Consider the following 20,589-nt stretch of genomic DNA (forward strand, 5'->3'; position numbering starts at 1 on the left):
CAAAATTATCAAGTATAATTATTAACCCTTTCTCTAAAAAGAGGATCTCATATCTATACTCACAAGTAAAATCACAGATATTGAATCAAGGAGAGGAGAGAAATGATGGCCTGAAGTTGGCCCCATTTAAGAAAGGCACACGGGTATGAATGAGAGAAAGAAACCCACAAGAAGTAGAAGGAGGCTACAAGAAAGAATATGCAGGTGTTTGGGGAAAAAAACCACATTTGCTCAGAAGGAGCTACCATGATAAGAGTGACTCATGGAGTGAATGGTTAAAGAACATTTAATTTTTATTTCTAGCTAAGTTGTCCAGGTCTAGCTAAGTTGCCCAGGCTGGAGTGCAGTGGCATGATCACAGTCCATGGCAGGCTTGAACTCCTGGGCTCAAGCTATCCTCCTGCCTTTTTCAAAAAACATAAGTAAAACTGAATTAGTTCCAGCTAGTAAAACTGCCAAAGTGTTTGGTGCATCTTCTTCATAGCCCTAGAAAGGGTTCCTACCGATTACTTACTCTATAAGACCTGTCAGCTTTGCCAGAGTGCTCCACTACAGAAATAATACATTTGTCTTACTTACCAATATACTCACTAAATAAGTACATTACTTGAAACAGATATACTCAAAATATTTTATGAAGCAATGAAATAAATAAAACCATTTATGTTCTTTTTGAAATTGATGGCAGATTAAAGGTTTATGGACATTTTGTATCTTTTCAAGAGTATGAGTTAAGACCCAACATTTACAGTTAAGATTTAACTCCCTCCTACACTCCACAGCAAAAACAAACAAACAAAAAAAGGCAAGCTGACCGTGTTTATAAAGAATAAAATTTGAAGACAAGTATCATGAGATAAATTGTAATTGTTACAAACTAAAAATGTACTTTCCTTATATTCAAAAGTACTATACAATTTCTTCTTATTGAAAAAGGCTAACAAAAATGACTCAATACATTTTATTACAGAAGCAGAAGGAAAGTCTTTGAATTGAGCTTAAAGCAACAAATTAATAGATGAGACCCAACTGACCAAAATGAGGTTTACGTCTAAGTCTCTTCTCCAAACTTCTGAGTTTTCTGATAAGCCTATTAGCACAGAGAAATAACTTACTGATTTTTACTTCTTAATTTCTGGTAGGACAATGTCCTGGGCACAGCAGCTATGTACTTTCTTTTTCAGCTAGAGACTGGTCCTTTGGGAATAACCCATCACAGCCAGGCTGGAGTTCTACCCAAGGTCTCTTCCATTTCCTGTTCCAAACAGTTCTCCAGAAATTCTAGCTACTGACCAAGCCCAGTGAGGAATTTCAGCCCTTTGTGCTGAAAACATTGGAGATCTGCTGGATCATCTCATGGAGAATATTGGTGGCCTGAGCCTTTTGGAATTTGGTGCCATCCATCTGCTCCAGGAGAACCTGAAAACATTCTTGTCCTTCAGACAGGAAGAAAAGGAAGATTCTTCCATTTGGTGAAGAACTGTGAAGGTCTCCTGCTTCTGGCAGGCTGGGCCAGGTCACAGCTAAGGGTACAGAGAAAGCTGGAGAACATCATCCTCAGTGTCACTAGTGAAAAGGTTGGCAGGGCCACTGGTGGGATGCAGCTGGCCGGGCCTTGTGAGCCTTCACTCAGCTGTCTCAGCACTTTCTTGTTGTGAGACTATTACATTACCAGGCAAGGATTTTCAGTTTTTGTACTTATCTCAATTTTTTTTCCATTTTGTTCACTTTCTATTCTATTTATGGATCTCAGATAATGTCATGACCTCAGCACTTCTTTTGTATTATAATGGAAATTAAACACTCCGAAAATGAAAGAAATCGCGATCTAACAGGATGTATTCATCCGAATGAGAATGTTTAGTTTAAATAAAAACCTGTCTGAGTCTCAATCTATTTCTCTTAAAATTCTAATAATGATGCTTAGAGGTTTTATCTTAGATGTCATTTTTACTTTCTTTTCTTTTTTTTCTTTCCTTTTTTTTTTTTTTTTTTTTTGAGATACAGTCTCTCTCTGTCACCCAGGCTGGAGTGCAATGGTGCGATCTCTGCTCACTGCAACCTCTGCCTCCTGGGTTCAAGCAATTCTCCTGCCTCAGCCTCCCAAGTAGCTGGGATTACAGGAACCTGCCACCATGCCTGGCTAATTTTTCTGTATTTTTAGTAGAGACAGGTTTTCACCATGTTGGCCAGGCTGGTTTCGAACTCCTCGCCTCAAGTGATCTGCCTGCCTCGGCCTCCCAAGTGCTAGGATTACAGGCGTGAGCCACTGTGCCTGGCCCATTTTTACATATTAAACTGCACTGAAATACACATTTCCTCACCTCTCTCCATTTCCCTTTTAAGGGGCTAATGCACTAGATTTGATTTCTTCCACCTTTCTTTACAGGAGCCACAGATCACAATCTACAGATCACAGGGCATAAAACTGGCATACCAACGGTTAACTCATCCAGTTGTCTTCATTCTGTCACTAAAAATGTGTTCACTGCATATACGGGACAAACAATGTGCTTGGCAATGTGGGTTCAAGGATAATAAGACAGGATGATGATTGCCCTCCAGGGAGCAAAAGCCAGACATTAAAGACACGATTATGATTAATTAAGCACTAGCATTCTCAGTGCTGCCAAGAGGAAGTACTGAGAGCAAATCAAGAGGGGAGTTGGAGGCAGTAGAAAGCTCCACTTTCTGACAAAATCTGTGACTCTTAGCAAGTTAAACATCAGATTTTCATTTCCTCTTCTGAAAAATTCAGAATATTTTAGTAGTTGTCATATTAGAAACTGTAAAGATTAAATGAAATAAAGTTTGGAAATTACTGGCTGAGAATCTGAACATGATAAATTATAGTGATGTGGTTTGGCTGTGTCTCCACCCAAATCTCACCTTGAATTGTAATAATTCCCACATGTCAATAGTGGGGCCAGGTGGAGATAATTGAATCATGGGGGCAGTTTCTCCCATATTGTTCTCGTGGTAGCGAATAAGTCTCACAAGATCCAATGGTTTTATAAATGGGGGTTCTCCTCCCTGCACAAGCTCTCTCTTGCCTGCCACCATGTAAGACATGACTTTGCTCCTCATTCACCTTCCGCCATGATTGTGAGGCCTCCCCAGCCATGTGGAACTGTGAGTCAATTAAACCTCTTTCCTTTATAAATTACTCAGTCTTGGGTATGTCTTTAGTAGCAGCATGAGAACAGACTAATACAGATAGTAACCTTTAGTATAATCTATATAGTTTGCATTTGTGAACTATATAGAAAAAATATATATATACATACAACCATGTATTTATAATCTGTATAGTCCATATTCAACCAAGTCCATCCAAGAAAAGCTTTGATTGCAGCTCCCCTGACACTCTCAGGGTCTTGCACATTGGCGCCTCCTAAATGGAAACTCTAGGAGAGGAAATTGTCTGTAAGACTGGAAAATATTTTAAAGAAGTTTATTCTGAGCCAATATGAGTGACCATATCCTGGAGAAACAGTTTTAAGAGGTCCTGAAAAAGTGCACCCAAGGTGGTTGGGTTATAATTTGGTTTTAGACATTTCAGGGAGATACGAATTGCAGGTAAAATCATAAATCAATACATGGAAGGTATACAGTGGTTTGGCCAGAAAAGGCAAGACATCTCAAAGTGGGGATTTAAAAGTCACAGGTGGGTTTCAGGGATTCTTTAGCTGGCAATTGGTTGAAACAGTTAAGCTTTGTCTAAAGACTTGAAGTCATTAGAAAAGAATGCTTAAATTAAGATAAATGGGTCTGCAATCTGCCATATGGTATTATATGAGAGTTAGGTTAGAAAGTGAGCCACATTTTACTGGGTTAATTTTTAAAAATCCATTTAAGGAGATTTTATGGTTTGCAGTACATAACTCTCGCCTTGCATGGCCTTAGGTCTTGCTTATAATTTGGTATCTTATTGCCACAAAGTCTGTTTTGTCTTATTATCTCTCTTATAACATCAATGCTGGCCAGTTTGTGTCCATACTCCAAAACGGAGGGGGATATAATGAGGCGTGTCCATCCTGCTTCCCATCATGGTTGAGAATTCAGTTAAGGTTTTTAGGGGTTCCATTGGCCAAAAGGGGGCATGTTCAGCCAATGGGTGGCTTAGTATTTTATTTTTAGTTTTAGTTTATAACTCTATATCTATATATATATGTAAGTATATGTAGAATATATACTTACATTTTATATATTATGGGTATTTAAATATATAAATATATACATATGTTATAATTTTATATAAAGTATATGCTGAAATATATAAATATGTATACGTAAGTATTTAAATGTACAGAAACACACATATAAAATAGATCAATATAAAAATATATATCCTTTATATATTTAAAATATATACTTAAATTATCAACTCAAATACTATTTTAATACAATATTAAAATTGGAAATTAATGCCTAAACATCCATGATGAGGCAAATATCAAAATTTTAATTAAGTAAAGGCAGGAAATGTAAGATGACCCTGAGGGTCTTACAAAGGAGAGGGGCCAGTGTAACAAATTATGGCAAACTCCACTCAGGCTATAAAATTCTTACCCTAGAAAATAAAAAGTTCTGACCTGCTCCTCTACTCTTTGTAGGCAACACTGCTCATTTCTCTTTTCAGCAACACAAGTCAAGGTGGGGTCTTGAGGAAGGGCTTTCAGTAAACCAAAGTTAAATAAAATTATCTCAGTGTCACTGAGTCACTGGAAATGTCAGACATGGCACTTCTCCCAGATAAAACAAAGTAGGGATCTTGAAAGCATTGCTGAGTTTGCTTCCTTTAAAGCTAGGGAAGTAAGATCACAACATTCTTGTTTTGGTATAAAGTATTTAAAATAATGCTGTTGAGTTTTAACATACCTGAATTATGGTTTCAGCGACACTGGCGTCTGAAGCTGAAAGCTTAGCTCCTGGCACACCCTGGGGCAGGCACGGGCGCCTCTCTGCTCCTGGCCCGGTGCGCGGCGTCCCCAGCCCCGGGCGCTCCCAGGACCCGTCCGCTCGCCCCAGGGTCCAGCGTGTCCCCTTCCCCAAGACGTCCCCGCCCTGCGCCCCCACACAAACGGAATCCCCAAGATTAAACCCGTGCGATCTCGAGCCCTCAAGTCCCGGAATCAACGGGTCCCTCTGTAAAAACAAGTCTCGCTGAAGTCTCTATGGGAAATAAAAGCCCCAAACCCAGGGGAAAATCCCGAAAATAAAAGGTGCCCTGCTGGCTACCTGAGGAAGATGTCTCAAGGGAGACCACGGCGGAGCTGCCTCCTGAGCAGCAAAAGAGATTTTTTTACTCAGGTCGAAGCTGCACAAAGTTGGCGCGATAAGCCGCGACGACGTTTCCCTGGGGCTGCGGGACGCCCCGAAACTCAAACCCGCGGTTCCCAAATCCTGGGCATCAGGAAAACCCATTCTGGCGCCTTGCTGCGGCCGTGGTGCGCAGCGCTGGGAGCTTTGCGCTCTTTGCGCAGCGGGCCCGCGCCCCTTCGAGGCCGGCTAGTGAATCTCTGAAATCACAGTGGCCTACACCTCCCTGGTAATGGCGGGAGTCATCATGCTCATCTCCAGCGCTGCCTGCTCACTTGGCAGGGACAAGTCTTGGAGCCATGGCTAGAAAACAAGGAAGGCAGGAGGAAACCTCAGTGCTATTCACACAGCTGAAAAGTATCCCCTCTCAATCATGCCTAATGACAGAACCCACTTCAAGTTTTCTAGGAAACGAGGAACTATCACCCAAATCCAGAAGACAGGAGACATCCGTTTCCACCGTCAGCTGCTCCAGCAGATCTTCAGCCTCTTCCCCAGGGACGACACACTGGCTGTTTGGCATAAGATCCTCCTCAATAAACGACTCTCCAGACTTGATCACAGTCTGGAACGACTGCAGCTGACAAAAGTACATTTCTGCAAAAGTAGAAAATCTATCTTGTCTCTATTTAGGAATTGCTGTCTGGAAATATTTCCAAAGAATCATTCCCTATGTGAAGTAAAGGGAATAAGGCCTCTGTGCCTGGGAGGTTGTCAGAGGGGAAATTGAAGGGTGCTTTTCCCTAGTTAACAATCCTCAAAGAAAAGACAGCAAATAAACAAGAAAGTTATTATATATTCATGACTCTCTCTAATCAATTACATTATTGTTTTCTGAGCCAAAAAAGCAATGTCATCTCAGATTTTTTAACCAGCTAGAAAAATCTGAAACCAAAATCAGTAGATTATATCAAAATTATATTGTGTATTACAAATTTATAAAAAATATTTGCAGAAAAGAACACGTATTAGTTTCTTAAGATGATCATTTATTATTTTATTTATCTGCTTAAATCTTTGAGGGGTATTTGCTGTTTCCAAAGTTGAAAATTTAATTTTTTATGGAAAAGTTTCTTCAGGATAGTATTTTAAAAGACTTTGTCAGTTAAGTTGATGAGAGCTGCTGTAACAGATAAATAGAAAACAATTAGTAATTAGATCAATATGCAAATTTACCTTTCCTTCCTATAAAAGCTCAATGCAGGACTTCCTGCTCAGATGACTCGGGTTGGCTATTCAGGGATCTGAGTACCTTTTATTTTGTGGCTTTGCTATCTTCAACATATAACCCCAAATGTGGCTGTGGTGCTTCAATCTATTTTAGTCAATTGCAAAGGTTAAACTGTGTGGTACATCACGTGGAGTTGTTTTCACACGTTACAGGGCAAGATACACATCTTGCCAAGATGTTACAGGGCAAGAATCTCTTCCAACCAAATTAACTTGGCCTGGATTTATTCTCACAGGATACCAAGATGCAAAGAAGTTGTGAAAGGGAGTCCAATTGGGTGACTAGTAGGAAAAGAAGGCAAGTTCTTTGAATAAGATTAATCTTCATTTTTATAATATTTGTACAAATGCTATTTTTGGAGGAAAAACAACCAATGTTTTTGCTCACATATTCTATTAAAAACTCTCTTCCAAAATCTGATTTCACAATTCAAACGCAGGGAAGTGGACACAGATGTCATTTATTAGAGTTTATGGCATCATTGACTCTTTGAAAGAAAGGGTTAAACTGGTTCCCAAAGCCATTGGCTAAAGTTGAAAAAAGACCAAGAGTATGGGATAAGGCCTTGGAACACATTGTAAAATTGAAATTGTTTCCTTATTGTCTGAGGAGACAAGGAAACTATGACAGGTATCTCTGCAGGTACTTGAAGACCACTGAAAGAAAAGTGGAGAGGGAATTTTCCATTTGTCCAAGTCATTTTTTCTCATTCAGATATTCTAATTATTAAAAATACAAACTTGAAAATGATTCTACAAGCAAGTGGCTGTTCTTTCTTTGAATATTCCACATAATTTTCAATGATAACTTCCAATGAAGAACCTTGAAGAATTTACAAATTATCTTTTGATGTATTTTCCTTTCAAATTATGTATCTAATATGTATTGGTAATATTCTTTCCACTGGTTTTATAGTGATTACTCTTTTTCATGAATATTGGCTGAGCTCCTGAAATGATAGGGACTGGGCCAAGATGCCAGGGAAAAAGACTAGATAAGATGACGTGTCTGCCCATAAGTATCTTATGGAGTCCTGATAAAATATTCTAAAGAGAAAATAGGTCAGATCACTAAAGGCAACATCTCAGACAGCAAAAAAAGAGAAAATTATAACCATGCCTAAGGGAGAATAAGAACACTACCAGGCAAAAACATCTGACCAAGGACTCAAAATCCAAAATCACGGTTTTTTCACCTGAAGTAGCACTTTGAATATTACATGCCAAATTTTGGAAATCAAACAGAAATGGACCTCACTATCACATGGAAAATGGATGGAGATAACAAGAAGCAAATGGTCATTCATCTATTTTTTGTACAAGGAGAATCTTAAAAAATCACTGGATAAGGCGACATAATTATCACATTATTTAAGACACACTTAAAAAAATGGAAGGCCAAACGGAAGGAGTAAAGGCATAGTTTGCTCCAATTCTAGGCCTGTTTTTAGCAAGTATCTTTCCACCTATGCAAACACGTTATTTTTTTCCAACCCCATTTCTTTAGTTCTCTCCATATATTGCCCATCATGTTTGCCCGGTTTCTCAAAACAAGTGGTAAAATTAACTCAGCAGCAAACTCTGCTGGCCTGCAACATAAAAGGCATCAACCAGCTGGCAAGTCAGGTGACTCAGAGACTTTGGTATCACAGTCCTCCTCCTATAATACACTGGACTCTCCTCATTTCTCCAGAAGACCTTCCATTCCCACTTTTAATCCTTTTAGTGAGCCCTTCTAGATGTGGTCTCCCTGAGCTCTGAGCCTTAGTTCATTGGTTTAGTTCTGATTTAGCTCATGTCTCTAGCTTGTCATTGCTTAGTCTTAAACTTGGGCTAAGATAGAAATCTAAGGCCTTACGGATATTTGAATAAAAGGATAGAAATATGCAGGTTTTTACGGAGTTGTTTATGGATATATTACTAGGGTGAACAAAGAGTTTTGCAACTACATTCAAGTTTATGAATATACATTCTCAAAAAAACAAAACTAGTATATAACATGTAAATAAATTGGGGCCCATCTTTATTATAATGTAACATATCAGGCATAAACAAATAGGGCTTTTCAGTGAGGGAGAGGGTGAAGGAGCTGAAAAGAAAGGCCGTGACCTTCTTTATGTAGAACTGTACTAAGAAAACATTGACCGGGGTCTAGAAACCAGCTCTGGGTCTTATGGCCAGAAATAATTCCCAGGGAACATGTAAGAAATGAGGATTTAGAGTCAGATGTTTTGGGTTCCAACTGTAGCTCCACAACTCAATAGCTCCCTGTGCTTCTGGGTTTTCCTTTTGTAAAAAAGGACAACAGTACAACCTGTCAGTGTCTGCTTTGGTCACTGATATCTCTAGCAACTAAGTAGGGATGGGCATATAGTAGATGTTCAATAAAAATGAAAATGAGGGTATTTCTCATTGAATGAAGTGAAAATAGTTTTTGTAAGTGCTAAGAACAATATCTGATTGATAGCAAACATGATAAAATTTAGCAACTTTTTATTCTTCTTATTAGTGTTATCATTATTGTCCTTTTAAGTCAAGATAAGTTTCCTTTGAGATCATCTATTCCCTGGCTTCTTGTTAGATAGATATATTAGTCAGAGTTCTCCAGAGGGACAGAACTAAGAAGATATGTTTATATATAAGAGGGAGTTTATTAAGGAGAATTGACTCACACGGTCACAAGGTAAAGTCCCACCATAGGCTGTCTGCAGGTTGAGGAGCAAGGAAGCCAGTGGTGGATCAGTCCGTGTCCCAAAACCTCCCAAGTAGAGAAGTCAACAGTGCAGCCTTTAGTCTGTGGCCAAAGGCCTGAGACCCCCTTCCAAATCACTGGTGTAAGTCCAAGAGTTCAAAAGCTGAAGAACTTGGAGTCTGATTTCAAAGGCAGGAAGCATCCATCAGAAAGATGAAGGCCAGAATACTCAGCAAGTCTCCTCTTCCATCTTCTCCTCCCTACTTAATTCTAGCCATGCTGGCAGCTGATTAGATGGTGCCCACAGTGACTGAGTGTGGGTCTGCCTCTCGCAGTTCACTGACTCAAATTTTAATCTCCTTTGGCAATACCCTCACAGACACACCTAGGAACAACACTTTGCATCCTTCAATTCAATCAGGATAACACTCAATGTTAACCATCACAACAGATAACATGCAATATACTGATCTTCTGAGTTTATCTGTCTACTAGTGGAGAACTTGAGATAATTATACTTGTCCATTCTACAGACAGAATATTGTGCTCTTACAAATTTGCCTTTCTGGTGCACAGTGTCTTATGTTTGGTTCATCACCCTCAACTGTCTAGTAAGGCTGAATTCACTAAAGCTGAAAACATCCCCTTGGACCAGTAATGATTACTTTTCTTTGAGCTCCTGCCCATTTGCTACCTTTGTTCTACATCTCTTGCACCATTTTGCTTCTGCTCTTCCTCACCCCTTAATGTCCATCTAATCTGGGCTGAATATCCAAGTTATATTTTGTTAGTTGTTTTTCTCCTTTGGGATGTTACTTCCATTCTTATGTTTTTATCACATTTAGTTATACATTTGTTTTCTTTTTGCTCTCATTTATTGGGATACAAAAAGCAACAACTTTTGCTTTCTGTGAAAAAGGAAATGAGAAAGATATCTGGTATCCTGCATGCTATGTACAACAATTGCACACCTCATTTACTTTATCATACTTAGATATTATTATTTACCTTAGGAAACAGATGGCTTTTTTTATTTTATAAGAATGAACTAGAATTGGGATGTCCCCAGGTTCTTTGGGAAATCTAAACATTAATGCAAAAATTGTTTTGAAAAATATAATTGATGTTTTCTCAATTGTGTATTCTCATTGGGGATGATATTGCTCCTAAGGGCACAAACCTTAGTTCTTGTGGTGTGAACAAATTGTAGATATTATATTCGTTTATGGCCCCTCAATGCAGAACTCTAAGACAACCCTATCCTGTAGTGTTTATTTTCTTTCACTTGGTTTTCTTATGTATTACATGAAAAGACTGATATTGAGTTCATGGAAGATACACAAAATGTATGTGAGATTAGTGTTGCAAACCAATGTGAAATAGATGGTTGTCACTGGTGGACTTTCCACTATGTGCTCAATCTCAGAGTCATACCATGTGATGTGGTCTCCATCGGCATATGAATGGGCTGCCATTGGCTGTCTTGGGTATGTAGCTTATGTTTGATCCTCAGTGCTTTCAAGTGTATTATACTCTTTTATACAAATGTTTTTATTTTATGATTAAATTGTATAAAACTTTTTCAAACATCACTACTTATAGGAAGTGCTGAAAAGAAAAATATGTTGACTATATCTGGATGAAAATCTAGCAGTTAGTGAAGGTAAAAATCATTTTCTATATGAAGCAAAGCTAAAAGTTAAGTATAATAAATTAAATGTTACAGGAATAATTTAATTTTAAATAGCCCCTTAGCAGTTTTGGGAGATTTTTAAGTATTTTTATTTTTTTGATATTACATATTTTATATAAGTATTTTTATTATATTGGTATTATATATTTTCATATATTATAACTTTGCATGTTTCACTTGATTCATTAATATTTATATAAGTATATATACTAGAAGTCACTCAGCAAATAACTTTTATAAAGTTAAATGCCAATAGCTTTTAAATTTAACTTTTGACATAAAATTTTTACTTATTCTTAATGCTGCATTGCATAAAAAAGTAAACTGTCCACTTTGTTTTCTAAAGCATGGATAGGAATGTAGTACATTCAAATATGTGCATAATATATCTGTGTTATTAAATTATCAGGAGGGGTTTACTTAGAAAAAAATTATCAAACAGGACTCTGGAGGTTGAGAAAGGGAATGCAGTAATGAAAAGAAAACTGGTTGAGAAACACTTTCCTAAGCCCATGTAGAGAGTACATAAAGGAAAGCAAAAACAGAAGTAGAAAAAAAAAATGCAGTAGCATTCAGAAAATGGAAACAAATATGTTCCCTATATAAGGCGGTGTACAAACCAAAGTCTTCAGAGACCCAGGTTAAGGGTCATCCATCTGAACCAGCTCAGCAGCATCCACAACATCTACAATGGCCTTGACTTTTTATTTACTGGTGGCCCTAGTGGTGCTCAGCTACAAGTCATTCAGCTCTCTGGGCTGTGATCTGCCTCAGACTCACAGCCTGGGTAACAGGAGGGCCTTGATACTCCTGGCACAAATGCGAAGAATCTCTCCTTTCTCCTGCCTGAAGGACAGACATGACTTTGAATTCCCCCAGGAGGAGTTTGATGATAAACAGTTCCAGAAGGCTCAAGCCATCTCTGTCCTCCATGAGATGATCCAGCAGACCTTCAACCTCTTCAGCACAAAGGACTCATCTGCTGCTTTGGATGAGACCCTTCTAGATGAATTCTACATCGAACTTGACCAGCAGCTGAATGACCTGGAGTCCTGTGTGATGCAGGAAGTGGGGGTGATAGAGTCTCCCCTGATGTACGAGGACTCCATCCTGGCTGTGAGGAAATACTTCCAAAGAATCACTCTATATCTGACAGAGAAGAAATACAGCTCTTGTGCCTGGGAGGTTGTCAGAGCAGAAATCATGAGATCCTTCTCTTTATCAATCAACTTGCAAAAAAGATTGAAGAGTAAGGAATGAGACCTGGTACAACACGGAAATGATTCTTATAGACTAATACAGCAGCTCACACTTCGACAAGTTGTGCTCTTTCAAAGACCCTTGTTTCTGCCAAAACCATGCTATGAATTGAATCAAATGTGTCAAGTGTTTTCAGGAGTGTTAAGCAACATCCTGTTCAGCTGTATGGGCACTAGTCCCTTACAGATGACCATGCTGATGGATCTATTCATCTATTTATTTAAATCTTTATTTAGTTAACTATCTATAGGGCTTAAATTAGTTTTGTTCATATTATATTATGTGAACTTTTACATTGTGAATTGTGTAACAAAAACATGTTCTTTATATTTATTATTTTGCCTTGTTTATTAAATTTTTACTATAGAAAAATTCTTTATTTATTCTTTAAAATTGAACTCCAACCCTGATTGTGCAAACTGATTAAAGAATGGATGGTACAATTCCTTTATCCATGCTTATTACATTCAAATTATAAGTAAAAATGAACTTTGTCTAAATTAGGTTGTATGTTGCCCTCAAGATATCCAGGTGAACATAACAAATACAATTCCCGCTCTCTCATATCTTTGTTTTTTGTTGGGAAAGAAAACTAAAAACAGTAATCATACTTAATATCAGTTATGTCTAATGCTATCATGAGAAGAAAGAACCAATGAATTTATCTCACCAGAAGGTAGACCAAGGCATGTGAGGAAATAAAAATAAACGCAGAGATATCCTCTATATGCTAACTGGTAGACATCTAAGTGAAAATGTGCACTACCAGTTGGATATATGAGTTTGCAATTAATAAGGAATGCAATTGCTAGAGGTTCATATGCAGTAACTGAAAGCCCAGAAATGGAGGATCTCATGTGGGGAGAGAGTGTCGAGGGAGAAAATGGCTTAAACGTGATTCTGAGGACCTTCCACACTTAAGAAAGGAAAGAGAAGAGCCACAAAGAAACAGATGGAAAGGCCACACATTAGAAGGACAACAGGAGAAAATACTAGGAAAAAAAGTTTAAGAAAATTAATATTCTTAAAAGAGTTATCAGTAGATTTACAGAAGATATACATTGAAACTGTCCACTACCTCGGGAAAATAGATGGCACTGGCAACCTTATGAGAGTTATTATGGTAAAATAAATCAGAACAAACCATACTGTAGTGGCTGGAAGTATAAATAAGAGAAGTTAGTGACTCTGAAGAGGGCAAAAAAATAGGATGTGATGGGGGAAAGAATGTGAGTTACTTTTTCTGTGCATAGTATTTCCTTTATTAATATTTTTCTGGATAGATTTCATGTAACTGATGTACTAGCAAATCATATTAATATACTTAATATATTATTTTAAATCATGATATATTATTTACAATTATAATTTATTATTGTTTTAATTAATACTACTTTGGCTATCAGTAAGCTACCTAGTTTCTGTTCATCTGTTAGGGAGTAAGAGATAACTAATTCGATCCTTCACCGAAATAATTAATGATGATAATATAATGACACCTGGAAGTATTGGCCTTATTTGTTGTTAACTTGCATCATTGTCACACTGGTTTACTACAGTTCTTCTGCACCTTTACAATCCATCTTAATTTCTTGTAGTGCTAGATATAAGAATTCTTTTATGTTACACTTTGGTAATTCTTCCTGATTTCATGAATATTGTAGTCTTAGATCAATCCAGAAAGAACCGAATTACTATGGACATAAAGACTGACAAACATCCTTCACAAAATAAAAGTGGGAAACAATCAGAGACTTTCTTTCTCAATACGTAAGGTAAAGAAAAAAACTGGTCAACATCAAGTGAAAATACATGAACCACGCATATTCAGAGAGCAAGGAAGAGTTATGTATAATTCATGAATAAAAGGAGATTTAGCAATTATGACAGAAATCTGGAATACAAAACTGACAAAATCACCCATCAATTACATTAAAGAATTTGATACTGAAATTTCATTCTGCTGGGAGGTAGGTGTATTGTTGATCATTCTGCTTAATCTCTTTGAGCCTTAGTTTTCTCATAGAGCCTTAGTTTTCTCATAAATAAAATGGTTTCAAAATATTTATATAGTTGTGAGTATTAAAGGAACACATGCATTTTAAAGCACCTACGATAATATCTTTTATCGAATAAGGAGTTAAACTATGGTAGGTATTTTCCTATTTTTCTTCATACAGCTGTAGATGGTAATATTATTTGTCTTTTTATAAAATTCTTAGGAACTATGTCCTATATTTTAGTAACGGACCTCCAATGGAAGGAGATTAAGAAAATGAGAATTCTAGAGAGGCTGAAAAATTGTCAATCCTCATTTCAAAGATGTGTCCTATTTATATGCAGTCAGGGAATGGTGGCTGCTCCTTTTCCTGAGATAGGAGAAGAAGCATCTAGTTTGAACTGCAGAAGACACATGATGTTTATTGACTGATTCTGGCACCTGGTACATTCCTTCCCTGGCTCTCAGCATTCCAGGATGCAGTCTCATATCACCAGGGTTTCCTTGATCATTCACTCCCTTTATCCTTCTGCCCATTCACACAGAGCTGCTTTCTGTTCTGTTGTGGTTCTGGCTTCATGGTTTCCCTAAATAGCAGAAAAGTAAAAGTAGAAAGCAGAAGTTAAATAAAAAAGACAGTCCCCTGGGACCAAGTGTAACAAGAGCAGCAACCAAGACTGGAGGGCAGGTTTCTGATCTATGGAGAAATCCTACCAGTTCTGGAGATTTCTCTTTGTGCTGCAAAAAAGCTACTTATTGGCGAGAAGAGACGCTAATGTTGTCCAAGTTTGTTCCTTATCCCTGGTCTATTACAAAGAGAATGAGTTTCCAGGTACAGTCAAGGCATGGACTCCTTGGGATTCGCAGTGATAGGGACACAGAGATGTAATATCTGCCCACCCTACTGTGCAGAACAGTCTACTCCCCAGGATCACCCCATCCTCATACATTGGGACTCCAGGGCACAGGTAGGGCTGCCGTTTTGTATTGGAACTTAATACTATTCACAGAAACCTCATGTTTAATGGTGCATTAAACCAGCAGTACAATCTTAATTTCACAGATTTAATCCTAATATCAGAGTTCAAACATTAACAAATTAAAACATTTTCTCACTGTCATTTTGAATAATGATCTTTCCAGTTCTTCCACTCAACAGTAAAACCCCTGCCCAGTTAGAAAAAGGAAGAATTCCCATAGAAGCTAAGGAATGTGAAAGAATAGCATTACTGTTCCCTGAGAGCTGGCGAGGTCTATTTATTCAAATGTATCAATTTTGGTAGAGATTGAGAGGCATTCCTATAATTGACACCATATATTCTGGAGTTATTTCACTAGGAAGTGTGTGTGAATTGCTGAGGTAGCAGGGAGGGAGAGCCTACAACTGCACAGGGGCCTCTTGAGTCTTTTCCTCCAGCTACACACTCAACATCTGGATTTGCTGCTTTCAGACTGGGAGTTGACCAGGGCCTTAGACAAATTACAAAAAATTGTATTGTTTGCAGTCTTCTTCTGTCCTCTAGAGGGGAGGATGGAGAAATTTAGGAGTGACCAACGGGGAGGTAATTGAATCATGGGGGTCGGTCTTTCCCATGGTGTTCTCGTGATAGTGAATAAGTCTCATGAGATCTGATGGGTTTATCAAGGGTTTCTCCTTTTGCTAATTCCTCATTTTTCTCTTGCCAGCACCATGCAAGAAGTGCCTTTCACCTCCTGCCGTGATTCTGAGGCCTCCCCAGCCATGTGGAACTAACTGTAAGTCCAATTAAACCTTTTGTTCCTAGTTTCAGGTATGTCTTTATTAGCAGCATGAAAACAAAGTAATACATCTTCCCTCTCCTTTCTTTAAGCAGAAGGAAGGGTCTCATTTGGAGTTCTGAACTGTGCTTCCTGGGGTTACGGGAGAAGTGTTGCAAGTACTCCTTTAACCTTTGTTGCTGGTGTCTCAGTAGGTCACACGCCCCCTTCCTGTTCGCTGCCTCTGAACCCAGCTCAGCACTAGGAGTTGCTTAGAAATTACAGTCCTTGTGGCCTAGGCTGCCTTTCAAGTTTATTTAGCGTCCCAGAGCCCTTTAGTCCATGGTGGGGAGGTTTGCTGGAACTCAATCTCCCATCACTGGGATAGGACATTTCCCTCTGGCTAGGGCTGGTTCAAATGCTCCCTCTATGGGCAGGCACAGCTGAGTACAGCCCTGTGCTGCTTTCTGCTGTCAGAGGGCAGCCATGAATTTAAGGCAAAGTCTCACACGTACTGTACTCTCCCTCTCCCAAGTGCACAGATTCTCCATGCCATGTGGCTGCTGCTAGGGATGGAGGCAGGGTGGGGATGGCAATTCAAGACTGTCTTTCCTACCCTCTCCAGTGCCTCTTTTAGTGATATAGAGTTAAAATCAGACACTGTGAGTGTTCACAAGATTTTTGGTTCCTATGAAGATGCTCCCTTTGCATAGACAGTTGTCAAACTTGATGTTCCTACCGAGAGGGTGGGACCATCGATGGTGCCCTCCATTCAGCCACCTTGCTCTACCCTCCATAATGTCTTTCAAATGTTATAACCTCTTTCATTTTTTTCAATGCTTTAAAAAAATTATATTCAGGTTGTTGTAAAAGTTTTATGACTTGGCTCCAAACTGTCACCTTGCCCTGGAAATCTCTATAGCCATATCTTGCATCATATCCTGGAGTTATTAACCAGTTATGTGTTCTACAGTAGTCAGGAATCAAGCAGTGGGTCTGGAGGACCAGGACAGAGAGTGAAGTTGGAGGGCAGTGAGTGCTGAGATGCCCCACCCATTCAGGTCCCTCTGTAGTGCCAAACATTACTTCCCCCTACACTCCCAACCCAGCTGAGGTGCATCTAGTTTACCTGAGAAGGGCCACAGGGAGCATGGAGAAGCACTCCAGTTCCCATGGAGACTTGGCAAGGGCTAACCATGCAGCACTAGCTGGAGACAGCTAAGTTTTTAGAGCCTTGGAAGCAAGAGTGTGAATATGACCTTGTTTTGACCCCTCCTGCCAGGTGATTCATGAGCTGTGGGGGGTCCAGACCCACTGATGTCCAGTCAGGCCACAAAATGCAGTAAATGGAAGGAGGCCTTCCCCCATACTTATGACCCAAAGAACTGGTAAAGAATGCAGGAGCTCATCTGTTCTTATGTTTAGAAGTTTCCATGTTCTGATTCCCCTAAGAGGAGACTGCACCAGACATAGGACTCTCATTTGTTTAAAAACAAACAAACAAAACAAAACAAAAAAAAACAGAATACATCACAACACAAAGAAGTTGAAAAAAAGAGGAGCAGTCTGATATCTTGGAAGGAGAATAGAGATGTTTAAAACATTGACTGCAACAGTGGCAGGTCCTCAAGAGATGGAACTACGTGAATGAGCAGATGGAGTTAACTGTTCAGATCCTCTGATCATAGAGAGGGAGAGAAGATTGAAAGTGGATGAAGACTGAAGCACAGAGTCGTCTCACAGAGACATGGCCAACCTCAGTGACTCCAGCATGGGAGACACTGATAGACCACAGTAGCCTGCAGAGTTTTGGAAGGGACAAGCCTTATTCTAGTGCCAGCTGCCAACTGCTGTTTCCTCTTAAGGACCTAGCAAGTCATCACTCCACAGGGAAAATTATTCCATGAGGCCAGTGCAATCTAAGACATCTCTTAAATTTTGGTTATAATGCAGCCTCCTTTAAAACTAAAACAAAATGAAGCAATACCTGAACAGAAGGGACATATCAGGTATTTGAGTATAATTAGAGGCAAGTAGGGCAGAGCCTTCCAAGCAGGACAGATATTAGTAATGTGCATATTTGAAGATCATAATAACTAATGATAGCAAAGACCTTTGTCAATATTCATTGAATGAAAATAGTTGAAAAATAAAACATTGGCAGTTTGATTCCCTTTGTTTTCTTTCCAGTTAGTACATTCTGCGGTGAGTCAGCATATTTAGAATTTGGAACTCTTCCTGAAGATTAGAGTCCATAAAACAACAACAACAAAAAATCAAATTTAAATAAGTAACAAATTAGAACTATCAGCCATTAATGTATTATATAGCACCCTGTGACAGCCAATTATGAAGCTAGTGATGATGAAATCTTTAGAGAATCAGACAACTACAAACAATTCATCTCTTGTTGTATAAAAGGAAACTCCAATTGTGCCTGTTAAAGGAGTTATAATGAGCTCCGCTTGCGGTGATTTCATGTGAAGCAAGCTACATCCTGTACTGATGGCACTAGGGCACCATCCCAACTCCCCAGATGGCCAAGACACCTTGACAGGGATTATTGCCAGAGCATCTGGGTTATAGGGAAAAAAGTGACTGTTTTAGATGCTAATCTGCCATGTCACTCCTGATTAACCCCAAGTCTGGGAATGCCTCCAAGATATCTAGTTAATGCATTACTCTACGTAGAAACACCTATTTACTGTAAGTCTTACTTTTCCTCCATAATAAGCCTTGACGTTGCAGAAATCACAGACTGTGACACTCTTAGCATTCTCTCAGCCACCTACACCTTCCTTCCAGAGCAGATATACTTTTCCCCCAAGATATAACCCCTAGGTCTAGGGGGCTGCAGCACTGAGACCTACTTGTTTTGTTCCTACACAATGACATGTTTCTGTCTGTAAGCTCCCCAGAAAATCACCCTTTACCAACAAACTAAATTTATCTGTCTTGTTCTTTGGTTTCTGGGCTCTTTTGGCATTTGGGGACCGCTTTGCGTATATAGCCTTTTCACAGAATGGGGTCTTTGCACATGTTGACTGAACGTGCAGTCTGGGGACAGTGGAAAAAGCTCCATGTGACTCTGTGTGGGTCATACATGTTTGTGCACACAGGTAGGCAGGCCAACAACTTGGCAATGACAGGATTTTATTTCCTGATTTTGGTAAATGTTTGTAAACTAAAAATTACATCTTTTAAATCTTAAGAAACAGAAACACTGTAGAAGCAAGAGGTTGAAAATATCATCCATTTTGATGCCAACAATTGACAATCCTAGATAGCCAAAGACAGCCTTACTAAGCAATGTGGCTGCTTTTGGAGTCAAAGGAAGACTCACTTTGGTAAGTAGCCTTTTGAAAGCATTCACTGCTGTGGTGTGGGAAGTGCATAATGTTTTTCCATCTTGCTCATACAAAATATTTTTTTTTGGCACTTACAGCTCAACTGTTGGATAAAAAGATAAAGAGAAGAAAAGGATCTTCAGTGGGTTCATCAGTAGACAACACAAAGTCCAGTCTGACCAGGTGGGAAGAAACTGATTTGTCATCCTTGGGAATGAGAACAGCATTAAAATGGAAAATATTAGGTGCTTTTTGCTTATTCAAGACAACTCAAGAGTCAAAAATAAATAGGCCTCTAGGAGTACGCATTTAATGGGTTCTTAAAGTGGTCTAAATATATTTCATTTAAGAAATCGCTCATTAATTTTTAGACTTTTTTATTGGCAGAAAAATCTGCTGCCTTATATCCATTTAGATGGTCTTTTGTTTACTTTTACGAAAAACTTAAAAGTCAGTCAGTTCAATTCACTCATAGCACACCTACTCTTGCCCTATAAAACAATAGACAGCAACACATGGGCATTTGAAGTGGAACCCAGAATCCCTTGACAACTTACCCTCCCTGCTCTTCTTATTTCATGCTATGGCCTCTCCTTGGTTCATGAATCTCATGTCCAGTTCTGTTTTTTTAATGGACTCCTCCAGACTCACTATTATCTCAGTTTGCCCTGTGGTTTTGACCTTAGGTCTTTGTTCTATTCCTTCAGATTTATATTTCTCTCCAGACAGTTATAAAAATGAGTGTAATCCAAACATGGTTATTGGGTCAACAGTTTTAATGATCTTAAAACAGTCACAGGCCTATAGTTATAATGCAATAATTTTGGTGTTATCTTTTAAAAAAATCACCATTGTTATAACACAACTAGGAGCAGAATCTTTTGGGAAATCAAATTCTGTTTCTTTGCAGGTTTCTAAATGCCATCTTTTCATTTCCTGGGTGGATTTTTTAACTAGGTACGGTGCTAAGGCAAGGCTAATATTCATTATCATGCCAGAGAGGACTAGTGTTCTAGCAACTGGGGTCTTGTTGCCAGTCTACTGTGAGTTGGTTGGTGTGACTCCTCCTTTCTTACCTCAGAGGTGATAACATCTGCATTCAATGAAAGAAGAGCAGGTGGCTGGTCTTGCAAAGCTGAGGACAATCCATTGACCCAGGAGTTGCTCTTCTGTGAGGCTCTGGCAGAAGCAGCCGTTTCCCTTGCTTTTGTGTACCTCAACAATGACATTCATCCTTCCCCTGGGACAGAGTCCCTAGTCTCTAATTTTGCTGCACTGAATTTTGCTAACATATGTTTTGCTATTTTGT

General features: G+C 38.9%; 1 protein-coding gene and 2 pseudogenes across 1 annotated transcript; 2 read left to right on the top strand and 1 right to left on the bottom strand.

The window, feature by feature from the left end:
• Positions 1,065-1,590, bottom strand: IFNA11P (interferon alpha 11, pseudogene; annotated as a pseudogene).
• Positions 5,697-6,006, top strand: IFNA12P (interferon alpha 12, pseudogene; annotated as a pseudogene).
• Positions 11,568-12,636, top strand: IFNA8 (interferon alpha 8). Its single transcript, NM_002170.4, has one exon. The coding sequence runs from the start codon at positions 11,628-11,630 to the stop codon at positions 12,195-12,197; it is 570 nt and encodes a 189-aa protein (NP_002161.2). The 5' UTR covers positions 11,568-11,627; the 3' UTR covers positions 12,198-12,636.
• The last annotated feature ends 7,953 nt before the right edge of the window (positions 12,637-20,589 follow it).

This window comes from Homo sapiens, chromosome 9 (genome assembly GCF_000001405.40).
Source record: "Homo sapiens chromosome 9, GRCh38.p14 Primary Assembly".
NCBI lineage: Eukaryota > Metazoa > Chordata > Mammalia > Primates > Hominidae > Homo > Homo sapiens.